The following is a 26597-nucleotide window of genomic DNA, read 5'->3' on the forward strand; positions in this document are numbered from 1 at the left end:
TACTGGGCATCTACCCAAAAGAAAAGAAATCATTATTTTAAAGATGCCCAAGAATTTAGTTGGTGATTATAATAGTTATAACTTTAAGTCAACTATGATAACTAACCCACATATATATATGTTTACACACACACACAAATGGAATACTATTCAGCTATAAAAAAGAATGAAATGTCTTTTGCAGCAACATGGATGGAATTGGAGGTGATTCTTCAGTGAAACAACACAGAAACAGAAAGTCAAATACCACGTTTCACTTACAAGTGAAAGCTAAGTAAAGTGTACACATGAACATGGAGTGTGTAGTAATAGATATTAAGAGACTCAGAAGGGTGACATGCAGGGAGGATGCTGAGAGATGAGAAATCACTTAACGGGTACAATGTATACTATTTGGGTGACAGGTACACTAAAGGCCCAAATTTCACCACTATGTAATATATCCATGTAAAAAAAACTAGAGTACCCCTTAAATTTATACCAAAAAAAAGCATATTACAGCTCTAATAATATTACATATATGGCCTTCTTGTAAGAAGGTTCAATTTGGTGAGCTTTCCTTTATTATAGTTTAGTGAACAATATAGCTAGTTTATAAAATATATCCAAATAAAATGCATTGTTTCAATTCTTTTGTGTCTGCCTTCTTTTACAAAAGGCATGTATGCCTGTGCTCTAAATGTTTTTGTATAGTAATAAGAAAACATTTTTATTGGAAAGAAGCTACAGGCATAATGATTTTTAAAAAAATTTTTAAAAGATGAAATTCAAGAAAAATAACCTCAGGATTTTTCTGATTCCATATTATACTATAATAATATGTGTGTGTGTTTATATATTTTTTTCCTCTCCTACCTACTGTAGTGGTCTAAACACTAGCATATAGAGTATATTTGACTTTTTTTTTTTAATGAGTAAACTTTGGATTTTATTTCTATTATTTGTGCCTAAGAACTTTAGTTGTTAAAATACTTTTCCTCATCCTTTCATTAAGCATTTTAAAAAGTACTTAAGATAAAACAAAAATCCAACTATCCCACTGAATTTTCTAAGTATTTCAGAAATGCCCAGTATGAAGTCTTCAATGACTTAACATAACCTGTCTCATGATTAAGCTTAACTCTTACAGGCTGAGCTGGGTTACCCCAGCTGTTAAAATGGCCTTACACAGCTGCTCACCAAGAATTTAGTTCGTGATTATTATAGTTACACCTTTAAGTCAACTATGACAAAAATGACACAGTAATTACAGGTATTTCAGTCATGCAAAAAGCCTCATGTAATGACAGAGTAAGTGATTTAAAGTAACCTAATTTTCCATAATTCTCAAAATAAAATTTAAGTCTAAGAAAGACAATAACTTCTTTAATGTCAGTACTTAAGTCCATAAACAGTTTAAACATAACAGTTTAAACTTTCAGTTAAAATAAATTAAACATTACTTACCAATAATATCTTTCTCTTATAAAAATTCTTAAGAGTATTGCAGGCCAGGGAGTCATAATACTAATTATACTAATAATTAGGACTAAGGAAATAATACTAATATTCTTTTAAAATACAGTAAGTAATTGTGTGTTTTTTTGCTACACAGCTTTAAAAAATTAAGCTATAATGCAGAAGGCTCAACCAAATTGACAGTTTGACAAATTATAAAAATTTATCTTATGAAAAATAAAAAGCTACACTTATGGAAACATAAAAAATCTGAAGGAGTGCTGGTGCTTTAAATAGGTAAAATAGGAGGGGGACATTATTTCCTATACTGTTGAGTTTCTGATGCAATTATAAATAAAAATCAATATATTTTGAGAAAGATAAACATAGTACCATACTTCATTTATATAATTTTCAGTAATGTGCTATGCAAGTATGTGAGATTTATTAATATTAACTGAAAGTACTTCAGCACAGAATTTAAGTATAGAATTAAAGTACAGAAAACAAGTATAAGATTAAGCAATAGAAAATACATATTTAGAACTTAATTCTTGGACGGGCTGACAGTTGATACCACTGGCCTTTTACGCTGTCAATATTACATACTCAAAAAAATAATTTTTCTGAAAAATATCAATGTTATTTTTTGTAGCTGAGGTTTAAATTAAGCTGAGAGCCTAAGTTTTCATTCTTTACAGTAAGTAAAACACTAACTGGCTATCAAGAAAAATTAGAAACAAAGAAATAAAATTCAATTCCTACTATTCTTTAGTATGCCTGTAATACAAAGATCTTGGGATAGAAAGATAAATAAGTCTAAGGAGACTATCAGAGATCAGTAAGAGATATAAAGGAAGTCTGCAGCTATAGGGCTTAGAAAATACGTACGCATTGTTTCAGACTGGAACAATGATAAGGGGAAGAGATTAAACACTGACAAGAGTTTCTACTAGATCATGCTTTGTATCACTTAATCACCACGCCGAAACCCTGAGGTATCATTATCCTTGTCTACTTGTTACAGACAAAACTAAGGCTCAGAAAGGCTTACAAATTTGCCCAAGGTAACACAGCTGCCAGGTAGTAGAGTTGAGATTTTAACCCTGGTATGTCTAATTCCTAAACCTGTGCTTTGTAACAGAACATCTATCCAATTCCACAGAATGTTACATCCTAACTTAGTTGTGTTACTTCCTAAATTAGTTGTTCGGAGACACTTCTTTGTCAGTGTTTCAGATATGTAAGTTTGTCAGATATAAATGAGTTCTAGATAACTGAAATAAAGTATTGTATAAGACATTTACATATTAAATATGGAATGTTTTAATGTGCCTGATTTTTATGAAGCCCAAATTTAAAAAAAGAAACAGGAATAACATCAAAGATATTATGAACTCTTATAGCAAATTGTATTCTCAAAGGTAGTCACAACGCTGTCCCCCATCTTGCATGCTCTTCTTGCAAGGTGACTCTGAGACTCCTTTCACTAAGAGGGAGAGGCCATGTCCTCTTGCCTTAATAACAGGCCAGACCTTTGTGACTGTTTGGACCATTAGAGATAGTAAAAATGGTATCATGTGACTTCACAGGCTGAGTCATAAAAAGGAGATTCAGCTTCCACCTTGCTTGCTGGAACACTCACTTGGTAGTCCTGATGTGCTGGCTAAGTAGTACCTTCAGGCCACCATGCTCTGAAGAAGCCCAAACTAGCCCAGGTAAAAAGACCGTATTATATAGAGATGTTAGGAGATGATACGGAAAAAGAATTTCTGGGTCAGCCCTCAGCTGTTCTAGACCCCCACTTTTGCACCTCCAGCCATGATCTGACTGCCACCCAGAGTTAACAATGGCCAGATCAGCCCTCCTCAAATTACAAACCTATAAGAACAATGAGAAATAATAAAATTCTCGTTTGTTATAATCCACAAAGCTTTGACGGTGATTGGTCAGGTGACAATGGATAACCGAGACATCTTATAAAACAAGGAGCTCTAAGTTGGTTTATAGTCATCCTAGTGGAGTGTTAATTTTACAATGTAACAGGAATGGAAAGGACAACAGGTGATTCAAAATGAAAACGTTAAGTGATCATCTTGAGGATGGCAAAATTTTGGGTGACAATTTCCCACCTTGACACTCAATGGAAATGAGGCCTTAGCAAGTTTCTATTTTCATAATAAAACTTTTTAAAGAGTTACTTTGGCTTGAATTTACATCTAAAGTCATTTGATGTTATGACCAAGAAAGGAAAAATCAAACTCACTTTTGGATTTCCTAAAATCATGCTTTTGTCTATATTCCAAGCAAATTCAGATGACAAATAAGGCAAGTATAATAAAGGAGAAAAACAAATTAGGTTTAAGATCTGAAAAGCCCTTTTAGAAGGTGCAGTTGATGTTGCCATGTAAGTACATGTGCCCAGCAAAGCCATTTGTTCCATATTTTCAAAAGAAGGTGAAAAAAATCAATATTTTTATGTGAACTCTCAAGATTTTCCAATGTTGGCAACAAATTTAAATGTGTTTTAAAAATACATTCAATGGTAAGCTGTCATGATGAAAAGAAAAAGATTTAAATACCTACAAGGCACCATTTTGTAATCTCTATTCTGTTCCCTTCTGAGTAAAGAAGCACAAAAATATAATTAAAATAAAATGTAAGATTAGTGATAATCTAACTGATAGAGAATAATGATTCTGTCTTAAAGTTTTAATTTTCTTTTCTATACCAAGTAACAGAGTAAAATGATAATGATGAATAAACCCCAAAACTGAAACACGTGATAAACACTACAGAGGTACCTCAGTATATTTAAGTTTTTCACTCATTAAACCCTAAGACAGATGGCAGCATATCGGTAAAGTACAAACAATTCATTCTAGAAAATTAAACTTATAATGTAGTCTTATATTAATAGAACCAACATCTGTAGCTAAGCAAATGAATAACTGTTGGCACTTACTCCTCAAATTCACCAGTACCTTCTTCATACTTCCATTCCTCATTTGCATCTGATTTCAATAACCAAAAACTGCCATGGAAACCAACCAAGTAATGCATCTCCTAAAAGCAACTGCTATTTCTAAAGCAGAGAAACTACCTTTTGCATCAGCAAAAACCAACTGACAGAAGGACAAGGTACGTTTGAATAAAACAGACCCTTTTCTGGGGAGGGGGAAAGATACAAAAAAATTTTAAACATCATTTTTAAACCTGATCTATGAAAACAATCATCATTCTTCCTGCATTTCATATAATTAGAGGTTAAAGTTTATATGCAAGATGCTACCCTGACAATACTTATTACAAGGAATGAAGTTAATATCCTATGTCAGATACAGCTAGAAGTTACCCTAATAATTTACGAAGTGTTCTCTAAAATGTATCCTAAAGATAATTTTAACCTACCCAAAACTATTGTTCCATTCATAGTGATTGCTTCATTTGTTTATAATCATCTCTTCACTGTGAAAAACTTAGATATTTTCTGTAGTATCAAGCAGTAATTCTAGAATTTCTACAGAAGTGCCAAAGAACATCTTCCCTTGCATTTATTCCAGTTTCAGCTATTCAGTTCAAGAACACCCAAGTATCATTAAAGAATAAAACTTGCCTTTTCCTCTCTTCTGAACATTTTCATATGAGTACTCAAAGCTCTAAGATTACCAAAATTGACTTGTAGGTTCTTTTACAAATTCCTTCTAAGTTCAGCATTAACAACCAATTAGGGAAAAAATATCTGTCGGGGATCAAGAGTGCTTCATAGTTAGCAGTAACAAAATGTGCAATATCAAACAGCTGAACTATATGCTAAAAGCCATTAATAATGTAGGCAAAAGTCAATGGAATTGTTTCAACCTACCCAAAAGAGCATCTTTGGAACTAAAAATATTTCGCATAGCATTCCTCCCAGCCTGAACTAGTGAGTTAGTTATAGCATAGACTTGTAACATTACAATAATTAACCTTATAATATACCATAGCAAATGCTCATTAAGGATTTGCTATATGCCAGTCATTGTCCTGAGTACTTTGCATACATTACCTCACTGAATCCTCTCAATAACACTATGTGGTAGATGCTACTACCGTCCCTAAGAAACTCTACAAGGTTAACGGTTTGTGCAAGGTCAAACTGCCATGAAGTGACAGAGCTAGCATTTGAAAATCCCCCCGTAGTTTGACCTTAGAGATCACACTGTACCACTATTCATGAGAATTAATGCATTTGTTATAGCTATACTGTTGAGGACATGATCTACTGAGTCACTCAGGAAGTCCTATGTGGGAAATTCCTTTTATGTAATATTAGGAAAGATGCATGGGTGTGCATAAGTGTGTGTGTGTGACATATTTTCTCTTCCCCTGAGGACTCAGTACATCGTCAATTTTATCACAGGGCAGCAGAGACAACAAACTACACACCAGTGTTTTGCAAACTTCAGTTTACATGAAAATCAGTTGAGAACTTATTAAAAATGCACATCCCGACCCTGGAGTTTAGTTAAGTAGCTCTTGAGAGTAACCCAGAAATCTGTTATTTTTAAAAAGCACTCCAGATGCTTCTGATGCAGCTGGTCCAAGGTAACACTTTGAAAAATACTGGTGCAGACACTTAAGAGTGGACAACCTATATCCTATTACTAGCTTTCTCCAACTCATCATAACTCAATCCTTACCTCTTCTCATGACCTTGCCCTCATATTCTACTCCAGTATTGTCCCTGGTTCTGATTTTCATGTACACTTTGTCACTTTATTATATGTATTTTTCCTACATATAGACCACTTCAAATCTCAAATTCCTTGTGGAAGTTGGATACTCATTTCTTTAAAATGAGGTCAATTCATTTGGCAGTTTAATAACTAAAATCAGTACACCAAACTCATAAGGAAAAGTCCGTAGGTCACTGGCTAAAGCACTTAAAGTGCTATGCATATGCCGCACTTCCACTCCAAACAACCCAATTCCCATTAATGGATCAGCACTGGAGGCAAACTATCGTAATTTTGCAATGGGTGATAAACATTTCTACAGAAGTGCCAAAGAACATCTTCCCTTGCATTTATTTCAGTTTCAGTTATTCAGTTCAAGAATAATAGTCCATTCTTCTTCCCTACATGATGTCTAGTGAAAAATAGGTGGTCTATGGGTCAAACCAACCCACGGAAGTGCTTTTGCAAAATCTGGACACCAATATATTTTAAAGATTAAGAAATATCATCTGAAAATCTGAAATTCCAATGAATTTTGAAAAATTCAAAAACATGGCAATATCAAGACCCTCTTTTTAGAGAAGTTTTAGCTCCCTGGCTCTTATATTTAGTCCATTTCATTCATATCAATTAACTTTCTGGACCCTATGGTCCAGAGGGTTTTCTGCTTGAAAATCATTCCAGGTTAGTAAATAAATCATTGATGGAAATTAGTTACAATACAGGTGTATGATATTCTAGAAACATCTCTAGTATTCATATTCATACTAACCTGCTTTTTCCAAACCTCTGACTTCTGGGTGGATAAAAGTGATCTCTTACCCTTTATAAAATAATACATATCCTCAATTCTGCACTTGCCCCCTCCCATTAACCCTTTTAAAATGTAATGCAACTAACAATGAATATATGCATTTAGCATAGTAATCTACTCCCAACATCGTCCTTCCCCAACCCCTCCCTACAAGAGCTACTATTAAATTGTGGCATATCTTAGAAAAATAATGGCAATTCTTTGAGTGCTCAGCAATACTGTTAAATGAATCAAGTTTTAACTAGCAAGCCAGTGTTTTCTCCAGACACGTGTTAAAGACACAATAATGGATGTCTTCAATCCATCAATAGCATCTATTATCTCTGCCACTCAAAGAAGGAGTCCATGTGTTTTTCAACATATCCAAATACTGATCTTTTTATTTGATTTACCTTCTTGACCATTTAAGAGTTCAACATGCACCAGCTATATTATGCTAACAATAACTCATTTCATTACCTGTGCAAAAGGATCAGAATTCAAGCTCAGCCTTCAATTACCTAAGCTCATGTCAATCTGCCAATAAATGTGGTTTTCAGAAAATGGCAGTGATACAGAAAACTAGCAAACACACCACTAAGGCATAAAAAATATTATCAGTTAGAGAATACTGTTTATCATAGCAGTGACTTTAAAATAATTGTAAGTTCATCAATATTCAAGAGGACTAACATCTCGGTAAAATTTAGAACTAAAGATCAAAGTTTTGTCACTCCATTATAGTAACTAATTTGAAGAAATAATTTAAGGTATTAAAATTGGCAAATCAAAGGAGGAGAGACTTAAAAGATGAGATTCTTTTAAGTCTTTAAGAGTGAATTATTGTTCCTTCTTTCTCTTTCACATGACCCTCTTTTATTTTCTCCTCTAGGTGTAAACAGTGTGTTTCCTCTAAGTTCATCATACTAATCTTCCTTCACCAAAAGACAGTGTAAACAGTAGTTAACGAGAAATGTCCTTATTTCTGCCCCCTGAAACATAACACAGAAATTAATAATGAAAAGTGCTGTCTAAAGTATATCTAAGGAAGAAATTAAAATTTAGCCAAGGCCCTACTTAGATCTTGAACTTCTTCTCTAGAAGCTATTAAAGATCCAACAGTATACAGCCCATAGGTCATATGTAGCTCAAAGTCAGTTTTTTGGAGCCAGCACAATGTTTTTCTTTTTCTTTTCTTGATATTTCTAAAGACAGAGTCTCACTCTGTCACCGAGGCTAGAGTACTGTAGTACTATCACTGCAGCCTCAAACTCCTGGGCTCAAACCATCCTCTTGCCTCATATTTTTATTCTTTTAACTGAACATTAACACCTTTTGGGGAAGGCATATCTTACGTAGTTCATAAGAGCCTGAACAGTCTTACTGGCTGTTCATGACTCTCTTCACACATTGACATTACCTATTTAAGTTCCTGTAAGTTGTATTTCTCATTTCTTTACCCTAAGAAGCCAAAAAAAAAAAAAAAAAAAAAAAAAAAATTGAGGAAGATTAAATCAGTTGTTTAAATATTCTTTACTCCACGATGATTAGGTGGTTATACCCCACAATATTACTGTCTGTGCTAATACAAGATGACATTTAGACAAGGGAAGTAGCTTCTTTGGAGAGATAATTCTTTTCTCACATACATGCCAAGAAGTACCAGAGCAAATAACAATGAGAGGCCTATTCTTTTTACACGTATATGTTCAGATACTTGAGAAATTTTCTAAAAGCATACTTATACTTCCAAAGCATAGTAAGTCTGCACATACATTTATCCCAAGATACACTCTTTATCTCTTTTTGTTGTTACTAAGTAGCAAAATGCTAGCTGCTTGTTAAAAAAAAAGCAAAAACAAAAACCCTAGGTATCCCACATATTATCTGACAGTGCACATAATTACTGTTGAGTGTATACTCCAAATTCTGAGCAAGACATACTATACTAAAACACAAAGTAGGAGAGAAAGACAAGCACATATTAAATATATTTAAATATATGGAAAGCCGCTCTATCTATAAGGTGCTATATGGCCCTCTAGTGTTCAGTGAAGAAACAGATAAATTCTTAAGGAATTGTGTGCTTTTGATATGATGTTTCACAGTAAAAAAAAAAATAATACTTTATAAAATTTTCTATGTATGCTAAACATACTAATATATGATTTTTACAAAAACCTAAATATTTTATATCTTTTGTGATTTTACATCTTTGTGCTTTCTTTTGAATTACTATCCATATTAGAATATCCAGTGAAAGAATTCTGAAATGTTCTTAAAATTTTTCCCACAAATAATTGTAATGCTAAATGAAAAAAAATAGCATTTTAAGAACTAGACAATACTGAATCTAAGGCAAATTTCAAAGAAAAAACAAAAGAATGGGGTCGTGTCTACGAACTAAGTATTTAAACATACCTAATCACAATTCCCTAACCATATTTTCTTTTCTCTGTATTCTACTTCTGATCCATCCAACTTGATTCTTTTTATCATATTAATTTATAGAAAATAGAGATTAATTAAATACACAAAATTATGTCTCTCAGAAGAGAGGCCAAAGATAGAATTGAGATTTCAGGACAAGAGTCAAAGTAAAAGTAGACCCACAAGCAGAAAAGAATCTCACTAATAAGATTGATAAAATTGTAACCACTGGCCAAATGTTTGAAAAATTGATAATACTGTTTAAAGTTGGTGAAATAATAATTTCAAAAGGAACTTACATTTGTTATTATGTTTAAAATATATATATCTTACATTTACTGTTTATATATTGGGGTTTTGTCAGGACAGAGGTGGGAACTGAAATATAAGCAAGATACAAAATTTATCCCCAGCTTTTTCACTCACTTACTAGCGTTAAGCAATTAACATTTTCAAGCTAAACCTTTAGAAGCTACAGGAGGACTCTGTGAAGATTCTATACTTGGCACCAACATCAATCCTTCAAATGTCAAGGAAAGGTAAATTGCCTATGGCATGGAAATTCTGCAAACAACCTTCAAAGTACCACAGAGTCATCTACTAAACCATTAAGAAATAGGATAGAAGGACTCTTAGCAAACTAGGAATAGAGGGGAGGAACTTTCTCAACTTGATAAAGACTACCTATAAAAAGCCTACAGCTAACATCACACTTAAGGATGGAAACTCAAAGCTGTCCTACTAAGATCAGACACAAGGCAAGAATGTCCTCTTTAACCACTGCTTTTCAACATCATAGGGGAAGTCCTAGTTAAAGCACAAAGACAAGAAAAGGAAGTAAAAGATAAAGAGATTAAGAAAGAGGAAATAACACTGTCTTTTTTGGCACATGACATGACCCTCTACATAGAAAATCCTAAAAAATTGACCAAAAAAAAGCAATTATAGCAAGGTTGCAAGATATAAGATTAATATATAATAAGTCAATTATTTTCCTACACACCAGCAATGAAAAAGTGAAATCTGAAATGACAAATACAGTATCATTTACATTAGCAGCCCCCTGAAATAAAATATTTAGGGATGAATCTAATAAAATATGTATAAGATCTACATAATGAAAACTATAAAACTCTGATAAAAAATCAAAGAAGAACTAAATAAATGGAGATATATTCCATGTTCTTGCACAGGAAGACTCAATACTGTCAAGATGTCAGTCCTTGCCAATCTCATCTATAGTTTCAAAGCAATACCAATCAAAATCCCAGCAAGTAACAGATATCAACGAACTGATTCTAAAACTTATATGGAGAGGCAAAAGACCCAGAATAGCCAAAACGATACTGAAGGAGAGGAATGAAGCTGGGAGATAGACACTCTCCAACTTCAAGGCTTACTATAAAGCTACAGTAACCAAGACAGTGTGGTATTGGTGAAAGAATTAAAAGTAGATGAATGGAACAGAATAGAGAGACCAGAATATGGTACAGTGATCTTTGACAATGGAACAAAGGCAGTACAATGTAGAAAAGCTAGTCTTTTCCGCAAATGGTGCTGAACCACCGAACATCCACATGCAAATAAATGAATCTAAACAAAGGCCTTACAACCTTCACAAAATTAACTCAAAATGGATCATAGACATAAATGTAAAGTGCAGAACTATAAAACTCTTAGAAGATAACATAAGAGAAAACCTAAATGGCCTTGGGTATAGACATGACTTTTTGCTGGGGTAGAGTGGTATGATCTTGGCTCACCACATCCTTGATGTCCCAGGCTCAAGCAATCCTCCAACCTCAGCCTCTCGGGTTGCTAAGATCACAGGAACGCACCACCATGCCTGGCTAATTTTGTGCATTTTTTTTTTTTAAGGAGGAGGTCTCAGTATGTTGCCCAGGCTGGTCTCAAACTCCTGGGCTCAAGCGATCCTCCCACCTCAGCCTGCCAAAGTGCTGGGATTATAGGTGTGAGCCATGGCACCCAGCCGGAAATGACATTTTAGATACAACAATACAATACTAACAGCATGATACATGAAAGAAATAATTCATAAGCTGGACTCTACTAAAATAGGAATGTCAGCTCTCTGAAAGACACTGTCAGGAAAATAAGAACATAAGCCACAGACTGGAAGAAAGTATTTGCAAAATGCACATGGGATAAACGATTGTTATCCAAAATATACAACAGTAACAGAACAACCTGACTAAAACATGGACAAAAGATCTGGACAGACACCTCACCAAAGGAGATTTACAGATGGGAAGTAAGCACAGGAAAAGATGGTCAACATCATATATCACTAGGGAACTTCAAATGGTAACAAAGAGATACCATACACACCTATCAGAATGGTCAAAATCCAGAACACTGACAACACTATATGCCACTGAAGATGTGGAGCCACAGGAACTCTCATTCACTGTTGGTGGGAATGCAAAAGTATATAGACACTTTGGAAGCCATTTGGCAGTTTCTTACAAAATTAATCATACTGTTAACTTGCAATCCTGGAATCACACTCCTTGGCATTTACGCAAAGGAGTTAAAAACTTAGTCCATGCAAAATCCTGCACACAGATTTTCACAAGCAGCTATATTCATAATTGCCAATTATGTGGAAGCAACCAAGATGTCTTTCACTAGGGAAGTGGATAAACTGTGGTATATCCAAACAATGGAATATTATTCAGTGCTAGAAGGAAATGAGCTATCAAGCTATAAATATACATGAAGGAAAAGTCAATGCATATTACGTAAGTGAAAGAAGCCAATCTGAAAGGCTACATACTGTATAATTCCAACTATATGACATTCTGGAAAAAGCAAAACTATGGAGACGGTGAAAGGATCAGTGGCGATGAGAGGCTGGGGAAGAAAGGGATGAATAGGCAGAACACAGGACTTTTAAGGTAGTGAAACCATTCTCTATGGTACTACATTGGTAGATGCGTGTCAATACACATTTGCCCACACCCACAGAGTGCACAACACCAAGAGTGAGACCTTGGTGGAAACTATGGATTCTGGATAATGATATGACAAAGGTAGATTCACTGACTATAACAAATGTACTACTCTGGTAAGGGTGAAGCTGTACATGTGTGCACCAGGGGGCATATGGGAACTCTCTAGGCCTCTCATTCAACTTTGCTGTGAATCTAAAACTAATCTAAAAATTAAAGCTTGTTAATTTAAAAAGACAGAATGGCTAATGCAGGAAGTCTCCAAAAAACATTTCGCAGACCTCAAGGATCAATAATTCAAAGACAAGGTTTCCTTGTAAAGGACAAGTGTATTTCTTCTTACCAGATTGGAGGGATAGAAGAAAAAAGATACATATGAAATACTAGGTGAAGGAATGTAGAAATAATTCATGTTAATGGGTCATGTTTCAGTGAAGCAGAGGGGAGTGGGGGAAATTCCCTTTGAGGGGCTGAACAAGTCAACTGTTCAAACAGGTTACCAAATAATAATAAGACTATTATTATCATAATAACTGAAAGAATCAGGAATATAAAAGAAGTATACACACTGACTCCAGCTACACAAAATACATATCCATGTGGTCAATGACTGACAAGTATTATGTAAAAATTTATACACTAATTCTTTGTTGACTAATAATTAGGTTATCAGGGTACCTGATAACACAATAAATATTATTAGGCAATAAAATAAGAAATCAAAGGGCTTAAGAGAGAGGGAGAAAAACAAACTTAATACGATGAGTCACAATAAATATACCACAGTAACAGAGATTTAGTTGAGGCAACATTTGGGGACATGAAAATAAATGTTAGGGCGGTAGCTTTATAGGTTATTTCATCACAGCCCACTCATCCCAAAATTACTAATATTGTTTAACTGAATTTCCAAACGTTAACAAAAGTACAACCGGGACCCAGCATAAGATCTGAGTTCCAATCCCAACTCCACTATTTACCAGCTGACTGATACAAGATTAATTACTTAACCTCTCTTCACATATTTCTCATCTCCATTATGGGGTTAAAGATTAGAAATGACATATTAGGACTGTTAAGATAAATGAGAAAAAATATAAGTATATATACACATTCTGGGAACACATTGAAGGCATTCAGTCTGGAGAAGATCACAGATGAATATGGCAGCAATCTTCTCCTATGAAAAGAGCTGTCACTGCTCTAGGTAGAAGAACAAGGACCAAAGCAAAGTCAGAGATGTCAACACAAAATAAAGAACCCTAACATAAATAACGTCTAAAACTATGAAGATACTTCACATTGCAGTATTCCTTTGTAATGACCTCATTTGTAAGTTCAAGTCTGTTGGTAAAGCCACTGGGCACAGGTTTGGCCTTGGTGATCTCAAAGGTCCACTCCAATTTGGGGTCTGTCTTAGGAGACTTAAAATCAGGACTAAAAACCCTTAACATGTTAAATATATCATTAGTTTGATGAAATGGGGAGTTGGGAATACGGGAAGGGAGGGAAGGGAAAGCACTGATGATTTCCTCATAAAGCAGTGGCCACTTTAGAATTATGTTTTAAGGCTGGGCACGATGGCTCATGCCTGTAATCCCAGCACTTTGAGAGGCCAAGGCAGGTGGATCACTTGAGGTCAGGAGTTCGAGGCCAGCCTGGCCAACATGGTGAAACCCTGTCTCTACTAAAAATACAAAAATTAGCTGGACGTGGTGGCAAACACCTGTAATCCCAGCTACTCAGGAGGCTGAGGCAGGATAATCGCTTGAACCTGGGAGGTGGAGGCTGCAGTGAGCTGAGATTGCACCACTGCACTCCAGCCTGGGCAACAGAGCCAGACTTCATCTCAAAAAAAAAAAAAAAAGAATTGTGTTTTAAAACGGTAGTCACCAACCTTTTTGGCACCAGAGACAGGTTTCATGAAAGACAATTTTTCCATGGACAGGGGAAGTGGGGGGATGGTTTGGGATGAAACTGTTCCACCTCAGCTCACCACGCATTAGACTCTCGGAAGGAGCATACAACCTAGATCTCTCGCAAGCACAGTTCACAATAGGGTTCGTGCTCCTATTAGAATCTAATGCCACAGCTGATCTGACAGGAGGCGGAGCACAGGCGGTAATGCTCACTCACCTACCGCCCGCCTCCTGCTGTGAGGCCCAGTTCCTAACAGGCCACAGACTGGTCCATGGCCTGGGGGTTGGGGACACCCATTTTCAAAAACAGACTCTGAAATTGCTCGGAGAACGGTTTTTATATGAAAAATATTCATGTTTAGAGAGAGCCAAAAGTGCTATCAAGGCTAAAGAACTCTTCAAAGAAAACAATAAATATCTTCAAAACAAGAACGGATACTACTATGCTATTACTCTTCTAATAACGTGTTAAGTTGATCTTAGAAAATTGCCAGGGTAACACCTGAGCCCTAGAGATGTGAAGAATCAGTTACACTAGGACTTAAAGAGTTCTGTGCTCTTTCCACTATGAAATGGGGGGTTGGGAATAGGGGAAGGTTTCCACTATATTCAGCTGCATTCTCATGCAGAGATCATGATATAATGACATTTCCTGTGAGGAACATCTTTTTATCCAATCCTCCATTAGGAGCATTATACACCATGTAAAGTCATCAAAAAAGACCACATAGAATAATAATTGGTTTCCAGCAGAGAGTTATTTTTCAAATAAAGAGGCATATATGCTTGTTATAACAAAATGGAGAAATTATAAAATGTATTTAAGAAAAAATAACCTTTTATTCAACCACATTCAGAGATAATTCCTAACATTTGGTACAACTTCTTCTGATCTTTTTCTTTGCATATGTATATATGTAGATACATACACACACACATATATAAAAATGTATGTTTGCTTCATAATTAAGATCACACTGTATAGAGTTTTGAATCCTATATTTTAAATAAAATATTTTTAAGCATTTCCTGTTATTAAATATTCTTTCAAATGTGATGTTTAATGGCTGTATGAATTGCCTTCAACTGATTTCTGCATGTTAGCAAAATGATTCCTAAAGTGGGATTTTTAACTTCTCCTCAGGGCAGTCTCAATTTAACGATCTGTACATATACTGAATACCTGAGTCTTAAACTCAATTTTAATGACGTGCCCATTTACAATTTCTAGTCTAGCTTAGGTACATCTTAAGAGGTGAAATGAGGCTGGGGCATGGTGGCTCATACCTGTAATCCCAGCACTTTGGGAGGCCCAGGCAGGAAGATCACCAGAGCTCAGGAGTTTGAGACCAGGGTGGGCAACATAGTAAGACCTTGTCTTTACAGATAATTCAAAAATTAGCCAAGCGTGGTGGTGCCACGAGTGGTCCCAGTTACTCGGGAGGCTGAGGTGGGAGAATTGCTTAAGCCTGGGAGGTGGAGGCTGCAGTGAGCCATGATTATGCCACTGCACTCCATCCAGCCTGGGCAACAAAGCAAGACCTTGTCTTAAAAAAAAAAAAAAAAAAAAAAAGAGGTGAAATGACAACTGTTCACATTACAGTTTGCCAGTCTTCAATTCTCAAACTGAATTAGGACTGAAAACAAATTTACCAAATTTCTACTGCTCAAAAAAGTGAAGAATTATATGTCAACTTAAGACAAAGCTTACCAAAAATGTCACCAGGTAATACCAAATGAACTGCACCATGAAGAGAAGCAAGAACAGGTTGAAAGGAATTCGATTTTCTAAATCTAGGAAGGTATTAAGATAGGGGATTTGGACTTCGATTTGAAGGATATGGCTGGTGGGAAGGAGTATGATTCAAAACAAGTAGAGAGGAGAGGAGATGAAACCAGGTAAAAACTATGGTAAGATATTGGAAGACTTCAAACATTCTCATTTAGGTTTGGCTTTATCAGTGGGAAATGGGGCACCAGATATCTGTATTGAGGTTATTATCTATACAGAGCTAAAAATTCATTTTAAAAAACTCATCCAATTATTCATACTGCCAACTCATTGTCAAGGACGTGGCGTTATAGCCTGATGCAAACAGAAGCCCAAGCAAAAATGCTCTTAACGTTTTTAAACACTGACCCTCCAATTTTTATCTTACAATTGCCTGGCGGGTAAGAAAAAGAGAGACTAAGTGATCAAGTCTGTTAAATTATTCAGCAGGCCCAGACTCAGATGATAAGAAAAAGTCAAGCCACTTTTCTATCCACTGACCAGAAGATGGGACCTATTGAGAGGGAAAAGATAACCTGGGGAGGCAAATAAAAACTTGGTTTGGAGAAAGAAACAGTACTTTTAGTTTTCAGTGGACCACTCAGATGATGATGCCCAACAGACAGCTAGAAATGCAAAACTATGGCTAAGGTGAATGATCGGAGCTTGAGAAATAATTTTGGAGTTAACTACCAAAGTGAAAACAATATTCATCATGATCTATTCCTATGTCCTTTTTCTTCATACTGTCTTCCCTACCACCAACAAAAACAACATTAAAAATGGATCAGATCATTATAATACACATATGAAACAATTTTCTTTGGAAGCATTTTGAAGATAACTATTTGTGATATTTGTGTATACTTCAGTGAAGTTTATCATCTGTATAAAGAACTAATCAATGGAATGCTATAAAACAATTTTAAAATGGTCCATTTGGTGTGAAGATTATTCTTTAGTCTACAATGAAACCTCATAATTAAAATACTTTTTGAGCTGGGCACGGTGGTCCACGCCTGTAGTCCCAGCTACACAGGAGGATCTCTTATGCCCAGGGGTTCAAGGACAGCCTGGGAAACACAGCAAGGCCCCGTCTCTTAAATAATTAATAATAGTAACTGTCATTACCTGCAGTGAATGAGATACAGTTTATCACCAACATTTAGAGCTATTATTGTTTAAAATAATATTAACAAATACATTTAAAACTATATTAACAGGCATTAATTAGAAATTAACCATGAGCTAAAATTCATTTTGGCATCCATATGGAAGATTCATTAAAGCATTTAAATATACAGAAGCTTTAGTTAAAGATTAGAAGAAAGTCTAGAGAAATTGACTTAAATTCTAATGAAAGGAAAGGGTACATATTTTATCAACTAGGGAGATCTGTGGGTAGCATCGACTTCAAAATTTATGTCTATTTTTATTGAAGATGGGCCTAGCTTATTACAGTACTCTTCTAATCCTCCTATGTACCTTTTTAAAAGAATTTATTTCTCTACTTTTTACACTAGAGGGTGATATGATGACTGAATGCTGAAGGTTGTAAAACATATATATAGAGATTGACAACCGCTGCGGGGAATGAAGTTTATTTTGTGGGATTTGGGGTAAGGCACAGGAGACGGAAAAAATGAGGTCACAAGGCCGATATCTGCAAAATATCTGAGTGTCCCAGGCACTATGCTACTTGTTTTACATAAATTATTTCACTTAATCCTTACAAAAACCTTGAGAGGTAGGCATGAGTCTTTATTTTACAGATAAAGTAATAGGTTCACTGAGATTATATACTCATGGTTATACAGTAAGTGGTATAATCAGAATTCAAACTCAGATGTGAAAAGTTCTTATCACTCTAATATGTTAGGGGAAAACCCATCTCACCCATTGTCCCCATTTCTCCCATTTCCATTATCCTCCCCACATGTTTAAAATTGGGCTAAATTAGGCTGAGTCAATGTTTCATTTTTCCTCCTTCACAAAGGTAGGGGACATGGCTATTCATTGGGCCATGTTTACTAGTGGATGTTATTCAAGATGACTGCCTTAAATAGCATTTTTTGCTCTCTGGACATGTATATACCAAACAGACTTTGAACTTAAGTTGCTTGTCTTGCAGGTAGACTAGGCCAGGGACTTTCTGAAGAAGCTATCATTCTCTAGAACTCTACAACAGAGTGTAACTTAGAGCCCTGTTATATTTCCAATGTTAGCCACATTATCCTACAAAGCTGCTCAGCAGCTCTGGTCCTAGGAGGTGGTTGGAGAATGGCGGACCAGATACCCTGATTGGTTAATGATCCTATTACCTGATTCCTCTATTGTTCAGAATTTATAGACAAGAAAGGGTCTTACGCCTCTAAACTCCAATACACTAGATGCTTCTCCACACCTCCCCCCACCCTCTATTTATTTATTCTGAAACAGGGTCTTGCTCTGTGGCCCAGATCACTGCAGCCTCAACCTCCTGGGCCCAAATGATCCTCCAACCTCAGCCCCCAAAGTAGCTGGAACCACAGGCGCATGCCATCACACTCAGCTAATTTTTGTATTTTTTGTAGAGACAGGGTTTTGCCATGTTGCCCAGGCTGGTCTCAAGCAATCTGCCCACCTCAGCCTCTCAAAGTGCTGGGATCACAGGTGTGAGCCACCACACCTGGCTATCTTTTATATATATTTATTTTTTGATAAACATTTATTTCTTATTTGAGGCAAATGGATAAAAACGATTTAATTACTAGGAAGAATCTAACAATCAAGATGGGAAAAAAATAGACTAATTTGAGGTAAGGAAGTTATGTGAGAAGAGAACAGGTGGAAGCCACTAAGATAGATATGGAAGCATCAGAAATTAATGCTCAAACACACTTCTCTTCATCAAAAGATCAGGATACCAGATCTGGCCTAATAATCATCTCATTTGTTTTTCATGTTAGTAGAAAATTAGTTGATATTCTGCATAAAATATGTCAAAGATTCTTCAATATGAGCTGGGCATATCTTCAGAAAACAACTTTTTTTAAAAAAATATGATAAGGATGTTGAGAATGAGAGTTAAAACTGAAGAGACAGACATTTGTATCTGGAGAAGCAAGATTTAGAGGAATAGCCAGCACACAACCTCTGCTTTAAAAGCATGTTTTATGGATTCAAGAGAGTATGACCTCTATAAAATTTTTTAACAGCGTCATTTGTTCCTGATTACTTTAGCCTTGAGCTGTAAAATCTTCAATAATGTTTTGTTAAGTGCCACAAAGAAAAGTAGTTAACTGAGCCCTCTGTCCTTTCTATAGGGTAGCTCTTATCACTTCAAATGGGACATAGTATCAGAAAATCATCACATGGCAGAGTCTCTGACTATGTTGGAAATCTTGTTCAGTGATGTTTGTCAAATTCAACCATAGGGGGCAGCATAGCATGTGGAAAGAGAAAGGGGTTTTTTGCTATTAGGCAAATCAGGATTAAAATCTCTCATCACGTAGTGTAATCTGGGGTGGATCATTCGGCCTCTCTGTAACTTTTGTTTATGTATCTGTAGTAGGATCTTTCAAACAGTGTGAGCTTAATAAATAGCAATTCTTGACTACCACTTCCCTTGACTTTTAACATTAAGACAACATGGAATTTTTAACATATATTGCTTGCCATAAGGCTCCCAAAAGAACAAACCTTTAGTGACAAGGGGGGAAAAACTGTCCTCAGAGTGTTGACAGTTTTCAGAATGCTTTCAAAGAATAAAGCAATGCAAGGAAGAATTAAAAATCTTTTTTTCTCATTAATATATTTGCTTATGCAGCATATTTAGGGATGATGGGTAAAATTCAGTCTAGCTGTCCACAGGGTTTGTTTATGAGAATGCCAAAAAATAAAACTTGAAAGGTATCCTGAGTAAAATTTGTAGAAAGCTAATCCTATGTTAACATTTAAAATGGGATTTCATTTCTTATGCCTCTACTCTCAAAAGTCAAAGAAGACTTGAATGAAACTATGGTCTAGGGTAACATCTGTAGAAGTGTCTTAACTTTATAATGATCAAGAATTTAAAGCTCTTCCAAAATAAAGTACTTCAACTAGTGAGAGCTTCTATTTATTGTATTAAAACATGTATACACGGAGAATACTGACATTTTCTTTTTAGGTGAAGCAGTACTCAGTGACTTTTTTTAATGCTGTTGAAAGTGCTCTGGGAATACTCTGGCAGAAGGGTTTCAGGAATGGACAAAAAGGAAAACATTTAGAAAAATTTCAGACTGAAATCTTACTTGTAGAAGGGTATCACTGTCCTGGCAATCAAATAGCTTTGTATTCTTCATGCCATACTTACGAAGGCAGATCATCTCATGATCAACAATATATCAAAAACTATACATACACACTTATATAATAAATGCATACACACATCTATACTGTACATGTGTATATACATAAATGCATACACACATCTATACTGTACATGTGTATATACATAAATGCATACACACATGTATTCCTTCTATGGTTAGAGCCCAGTCCATTCTTGTTATATGTACAGGACAATAATTGTTATTCATGATTCAGAATCACTAGAAAAAAACTAACAAATTCAGTATACTTCGTTTTTAAAAAGGTAATCATCATACACAAAATTTTACATCTTGAAGGTAAAGAAAAGATAAAGCACCTGTCAAACTTGTGAACTGGAAGGTTTCCTACAGAATATAAGGATGACTTTTCCTTTTGGAAAAAGATAATGTTTTGTCTAACTAGCTTTTTTTGCTTTTAATTTAAAGTGTAGCAGAAATCAGCAATAACTCTGCATTGTTCCGCAAGGCTTAGTTTTGATTGAACCTCTTTCTGAAATAAGTTAGTGCAATTGGACCTTAAGTATTAAACCCCTATTCCTCTAACTGAACCCTCAGGAAAAAAAGAGATGTTAAAACTCCCTTTTGATATAGCAACCTTGAAGAAGATGATCAAGACTAGGGGGGCAAAAGGGAGGAATGACACTATAAAAGGTCTGAGCCTTAACAAAGTGGTGCTATAGTTGTTAGTGGTAGAGCCATCTGGCTGAGATCCAAAGCTACTGCTTCAACATCTTGAGACAGGGATGGTACAATGGATGAAAAATCACTACTTGATGTCACGTCCTTCTTAGATCATGCCAGCTAAATAAAATCTGACTTGCAGATAGGCTAGGTAAATTAGGGCCAAACACATTTTAGAAAGTAAGGTTTTACAAGCAGATGTAAAACATGATTTAGCATTTCAATTATTATTAATCCAAGTGTGTAAGATACTTCATTCCAAGTCAAGTTAGGTTAAACGATACGATGTTAAATCAGTTTGTATATTGTTTATGGCCTAAAATCACTGTAAAATGTAAGAAATAAGCAAGTAGGAGTAAGAGGATGAACTACCACAGACATTATGTTAATGTCTATAAAACAAGTATATTCAAGTTAAAATGTTCCTTTCCAAAACATAGTTTAACTTGTAAGTCTACTCTACATGAATATTCATTATTTCTAATTCTCAAATGATAAATAACTAGAACTAATTTGAGGCAACTTCTGAGTAATTTATGCCTTAGAGTGACACTTGTGAATAGCCCACTCTAGCAGCTGCATTTTGTAAATAAAAAGTTTCTTCATTACTTGATTTACACAAATCATGTTTCACCCGAAACCTCTACACCCCACACAAGCTACTAATCCCTGCCCGGGACGCAAGGTTTAGACGAAAATTTGATGTTAATAATTTTTCATAGTAATAGGCTCAATTACTTTCCCTCCATTTGTACTCAGATTGTCCCATTATCAGTATTTCTACTTGTAATACTTTCCATTACCTTCTGTAAGACAAAAAACTAGTTCATTTTATTATTACACATCTTAAGATTAATTTTTAGTAATACAAAGACTGTGAGGAAAGTTTCATTACAATTAAAATAGATATGTAAAGTTTCTCAGGTTAACAATATATTGAATATACTCACTTTTGTTGTTTTTGTATAGAATGGGGAGGAGAGTTGGTGAACGGGCAGGTCCACAATACTACTGGAGTTCGTGACACTGTTAGTATGTGTATGTTCATCTTCTCTGCTACTATCATCAGACTGATCAAAATCGTCACTCTCCTGGTCCATCTCCTCCTCCTCCTCATCCTCCTCATCTTGTTCACCAGCATGTTCTTCATCTTCCTCTTGTTCTTCTTGGTTTCCTGAGGAGTCCTCATCTACCGAAATAAATCTATTATTGTTTTCTTCCAACTGTCCTTGCTGGGAATCATTTTGGCCTCCAGGTCTAGGTTCTACTCCAACAACTTCACCATTCCTTGCAGTGTGCTCCTCCTCTTGTTGTCTGAGTTGCTGTTGCTGTTCCTCCTCTACCACACGATTCATCTGTTCTTCATCTACCTGGCTTGAGGAAGGGTTACCTCTCAGAGAGCCTCCAGTTCGTCGTCTTTTGCTGCCCACAGAGAGCAGTTCCTGATTCATTTCCAAAAGCCAGCTTGCTACTTCTTGGACCTTGGCTAGACTATCAGAAGATGCAAAGGTTTTCACATTCTGCAGGGGAAAATAGGGTAAAAAACAAGATTTGTACAATCTATATTATGTTCTACTTTCATGTTATATGTCTACTTTCTAAATATCATTAATGATTGCAAAAAAGTATTGATGCCACCAAGGCATTAAAATGTTCTTTAGTAAACAATATAGAACATTTCAATTTTAAAAGTTATAAGACTTTATAAAGACATGCACAAAAACCATAGTAAACAACACTAATCCCTTTTAATAATTTTTAGCATGAAGATTTATAGTTTAATTCCTTTGACCAATAAAACATAATATTTCAAGCAAATAAAACAATTTTAATTTTACATCAGTAGTTCATAGACTATATCCTATATAAAACTTCCACAAAATTTTAAGAAGTGTATCAAAAAAAATTTTCAGTGTTCAGTTAATTTGGGAAATGCTGAGGTAAATCAGATTAAAAGGCTTTTTACCCTGGGTATTTCCCAAACTTTTCTGATCACAGAATCTTGCCTTCAGACACAGTTTTCTAGCAGGTAACAATTATAATCATTATTATTTTAATTTTTTTACAAATGACTGGACAGAAAATGAACAAAAAATTTATTTAAAAAAAAAGTTCATAAGTTCATACCCTCTGACCCAGTAACTCCACTTCTGGCAATCTATCCTAAGGAAGTAATCCTAAAACAGAAAAAAAAAATTTATACAGAGGATGCTCACTGCAGTTTATCCACGAAAGCAAAAAATAAAGATAAAAATAAATGTAAATAAAAATGTAAATAAAAATCCAAATGTTCAATATAAAGGAATCTATGAGATGGGATATATATGGTGTAATCCCTAAACATGACGTTCATAAAATATTTTTAAAAACATGGATGTTATAATATATTATGCTAAGGGGAAAATGCTGGAAATTGTGATTATAGTATGATTTTTAAACTGTATGAAGACTAGAAGACAACATTTCAAAATAAACTGCATCTTAGGCAGTGGTATTACTGATGCTTTAAACTTACTTCTTTTTATCATATTTCTCAATTTTTATATATCAAGCATGTTTGCCTTTATGTTTTTTAACCTAGGCTCTAGAATTTTATCTGATACAGCATCTTTTCATGATATTCATTCTTACATTTTATCCTTTGCTGGTATCTATATGGACATCTTTGAAGTCAGATAAAATGCCAACATGTTGTGCACACACAAGAAATTATGCACCCGTGATCTAAAACTTGAAACTGCTAACAAATGAAGTATTGTCAATTCTAGTCTTTTTCAGAGAAAACCTTTAGTATGATTTACAACAGTGTATCATAAAACACAAACATCAACAAACAGAAGCCCATATCCTAAAATTTGAGGAAGGTCTTTTATTTCTTCCTACCATAATACAAAATGTCAAGATATATCAAATATTAATATAGAACTTATTATTTTATCGGTAACTGATGTGACTGAACTTGAGTTCAGTAAAATAAAATCTGATGGCTAACAAACAACATTAAGTTGCATGGTTTTCTTGGCAACTGGACATGATGGGAATAGAAATGATTCAAGGTCAGGAAGAATACTAATAAAAGAAATAGAATTTTAAATTGAAAATGTTCCTCACTTTGCAGGCAAGGTAATCAAGGCTCAAAATGATTTAGTAAATTTCTCAAGATTACTAGTTTCAAGTAAAGCAGGGACAAGAATTTAACACCCAACTGAGTCTCCTTTCATGCACCTTAAAGTAACTACATAAAATCCTGAAAGAATATTATTCTCTAACACTGATACTGCCTTCTTTTCCAAAACTCGAATCACTACAATACTCAAAGATTATTACTCTAAAACAAATTATTTGCTGAGCATTCAATATGCTTCCTGTACATGTCAATTTTCTGGAGGATAATGTTTAGAATAATGTCTCTTTCAAGTTAACCAATGACATTTCATCTTTTTTGACCAGAACCCACAGTAAAATTATGTTTAACATCACAACTCTGCATGCATGCATTTAAACATATTAAAACAGTGATTTCAGAGAAAGGGAATTATGAAACATTTCTGGTATCTAAAGTCCCTATAAATCACCACCGTTAATCAAATACAGTTGATTCCCATTCACAGTAATTGTGTTCTATAAAATTGCTGCAACCACTGAATTAACAAATACTGAGCCATTGCTCCTAGGGGAAATACAGTTCTCACAAGCCTCTGGTCACAACACTGTTGCCAACTGATCAATGCATAACCTTTTTTATGCGTGTTTCTGCCTAAATATATCTTTAATATACATTGATTCATTAGCATCGAACTCATGGTCAACAGCATTATAACTAATGCCTGAATTAAGTTTCTTTAACACACATTAGTTTATCTTTAAGGCAAATTACAGCCTTCCTGCACTTCGGAACATTAAACAGAACTTCAGGCTATGTTTGGGGGCCATTCTAAACTGCACAATCACTAACAAAAAGCACCAAAATGAGGAAAATGCTTTTTCCTCATGGACCATGAAAATGACACTTGTTCATGGTATGAGAGCTGCAACAAGAAGGCAGAGCATCACCCTGCAGATCTCAACTGGAAATAAGTTTGTCAGGTGGCTCAAACTTTGTGATACTCTGCACAGTATATGTCCACAAATGACTATAAAAGTATCATTCGTGGCTGTGAAAGTGACTGTGTTGTTACAGTTCTGCTAACCTAACAAAGGATAAATGATCAGAGAAATTAAAAGCTCCATTATAGATATTAATCAATAAATGTTTCAAATAAATTGAAAGTTCAGATAGCTCAGATAAAATAAAGTTGGACTTTGCATAAAATAATGGCTGGAGAAAAGAACATTACTTTTCCTTTTTTAAGTGTGGGGAACAACATTCTTCTGGCAGTGTCTTTCAAGGTAGTGGAAAGTCCAGAGAGGTCCTGACCTATGGGTACTTTAAAAAGATGCCTACAGTCAGCTCCATTCTGGATGAAAAAGAGGTATAATAATTTTGCTCTTCAAAAAAATTTAAAATAGGTTACTTAGAGAAAGCACAGCTACTCCATGACTTTCCCCAAGTCCTAGAAAATACAGGGTAACTTTTAGTGACTATCCTTTGTTGATTTAGTGGCATTTCAGGCCTACCTTGGGGGAGGGGGGTGTATTTTAGACAACTTTCTCATGAACTTTTTAAACATTTTCTCAATAACCTTGTTTTTCAAAAAGACCTTTGATAATTCAAAACCATTTGAAATGCTTATTCTAGGAATGCTTAGAGGAATAAAAGTGGGCATAGATACAGTTGTTAAATAAGTGGAGCTCTGAGAGCCTGTCTTATATTGAACTAGAGTTGCCAGCTTCAAAGAAAAATTCCAAGGCAAATACTAACTTTGAAATCATAGTAGACACTGAGGAATACAGTTTATACCAATAAAACAAGAAGTAGTTTAAGTAAATTACTAAAGCCTCTGAATCACTAGGCAACATTAACATTTTCAGAATTTACATGGGCAGGTATAATCCATTAGGCTTGAGCTACAAAGTGATTTAAGAAGCTTTAGGACAAAGATAACAAGAAAGTAAACCAACTGTACTGATCATCAGGAAGAATAACTCAAAGCTTGGAATCACTTTCTGCAAGAAGTTTAGGATTTTCACTGAATTCTTAAAAGAGCCAACACCCTCCACTTCATATATGAACTTTCTATACCCCAAATTAATAATTTATTAATTACTATGATTAGGAGTAAGTACCTGAAATGCATGATGAAATAAGTTTTATCTTATTACTCCACTGCTCAACACCCACTAAGAGCTTCCCATTTCACTCAGAGTAAAAGCCAATGTCTTTTATGGTTGCCTGTTGGGTCCTTCTATCATCTACATACATCCCCACCACTGTGAACTCATATTTTACTACTCTCTCACTTTGTTCCACCCTTTCTGTCACCGTTCTTTCTTGAGGGGTAAAGTGTGCTGCAACCTCAGAGTCTTTGTGCTAGCTATTCCTCTTTTTATTTCTTTTACTTCCTTCATAGAGGACTCTGTT

At 35.0% G+C, this 26597-nt stretch overlaps 1 protein-coding gene across 15 annotated transcripts in view; it reads right to left on the reverse strand.

Annotated features, from left to right (window-relative positions):
* FBXW7 (F-box and WD repeat domain containing 7) overlaps nt 1-26597 on the reverse strand; it is a 215549-nt gene that overhangs the window by 68733 nt on the left and 120219 nt on the right. For 9 of the 15 annotated variants that reach the window (XM_047415900.1, XM_047415902.1, NM_001349798.2 and 6 more), the window contains 2 exons: nt 23204-23253; nt 22027-22596 (listed from right to left, as the gene is read on the reverse strand). The exons of 1 other annotated variant lie outside the window; for it this stretch is intronic. In XM_047415900.1, coding sequence (XP_047271856.1) covers nt 22027-22527 — 501 coding nt within the window. In that variant the 5' untranslated portion in view covers nt 22528-22596; nt 23204-23253. Of the gene's footprint in view, nt 1-21883; nt 22597-23203; nt 23254-26597 lie in introns of those variants that run through there. 5 more of the 15 variants (XM_011532085.3, XM_011532084.3, XM_011532087.3 and 2 more) reach the window with 2 other exon arrangements.

The sequence above is a fragment of the Homo sapiens genome, chromosome 4, assembly GCF_000001405.40.
Source record: "Homo sapiens chromosome 4, GRCh38.p14 Primary Assembly".
NCBI classification, from domain to species: Eukaryota; Metazoa; Chordata; class Mammalia; order Primates; family Hominidae; genus Homo; species Homo sapiens.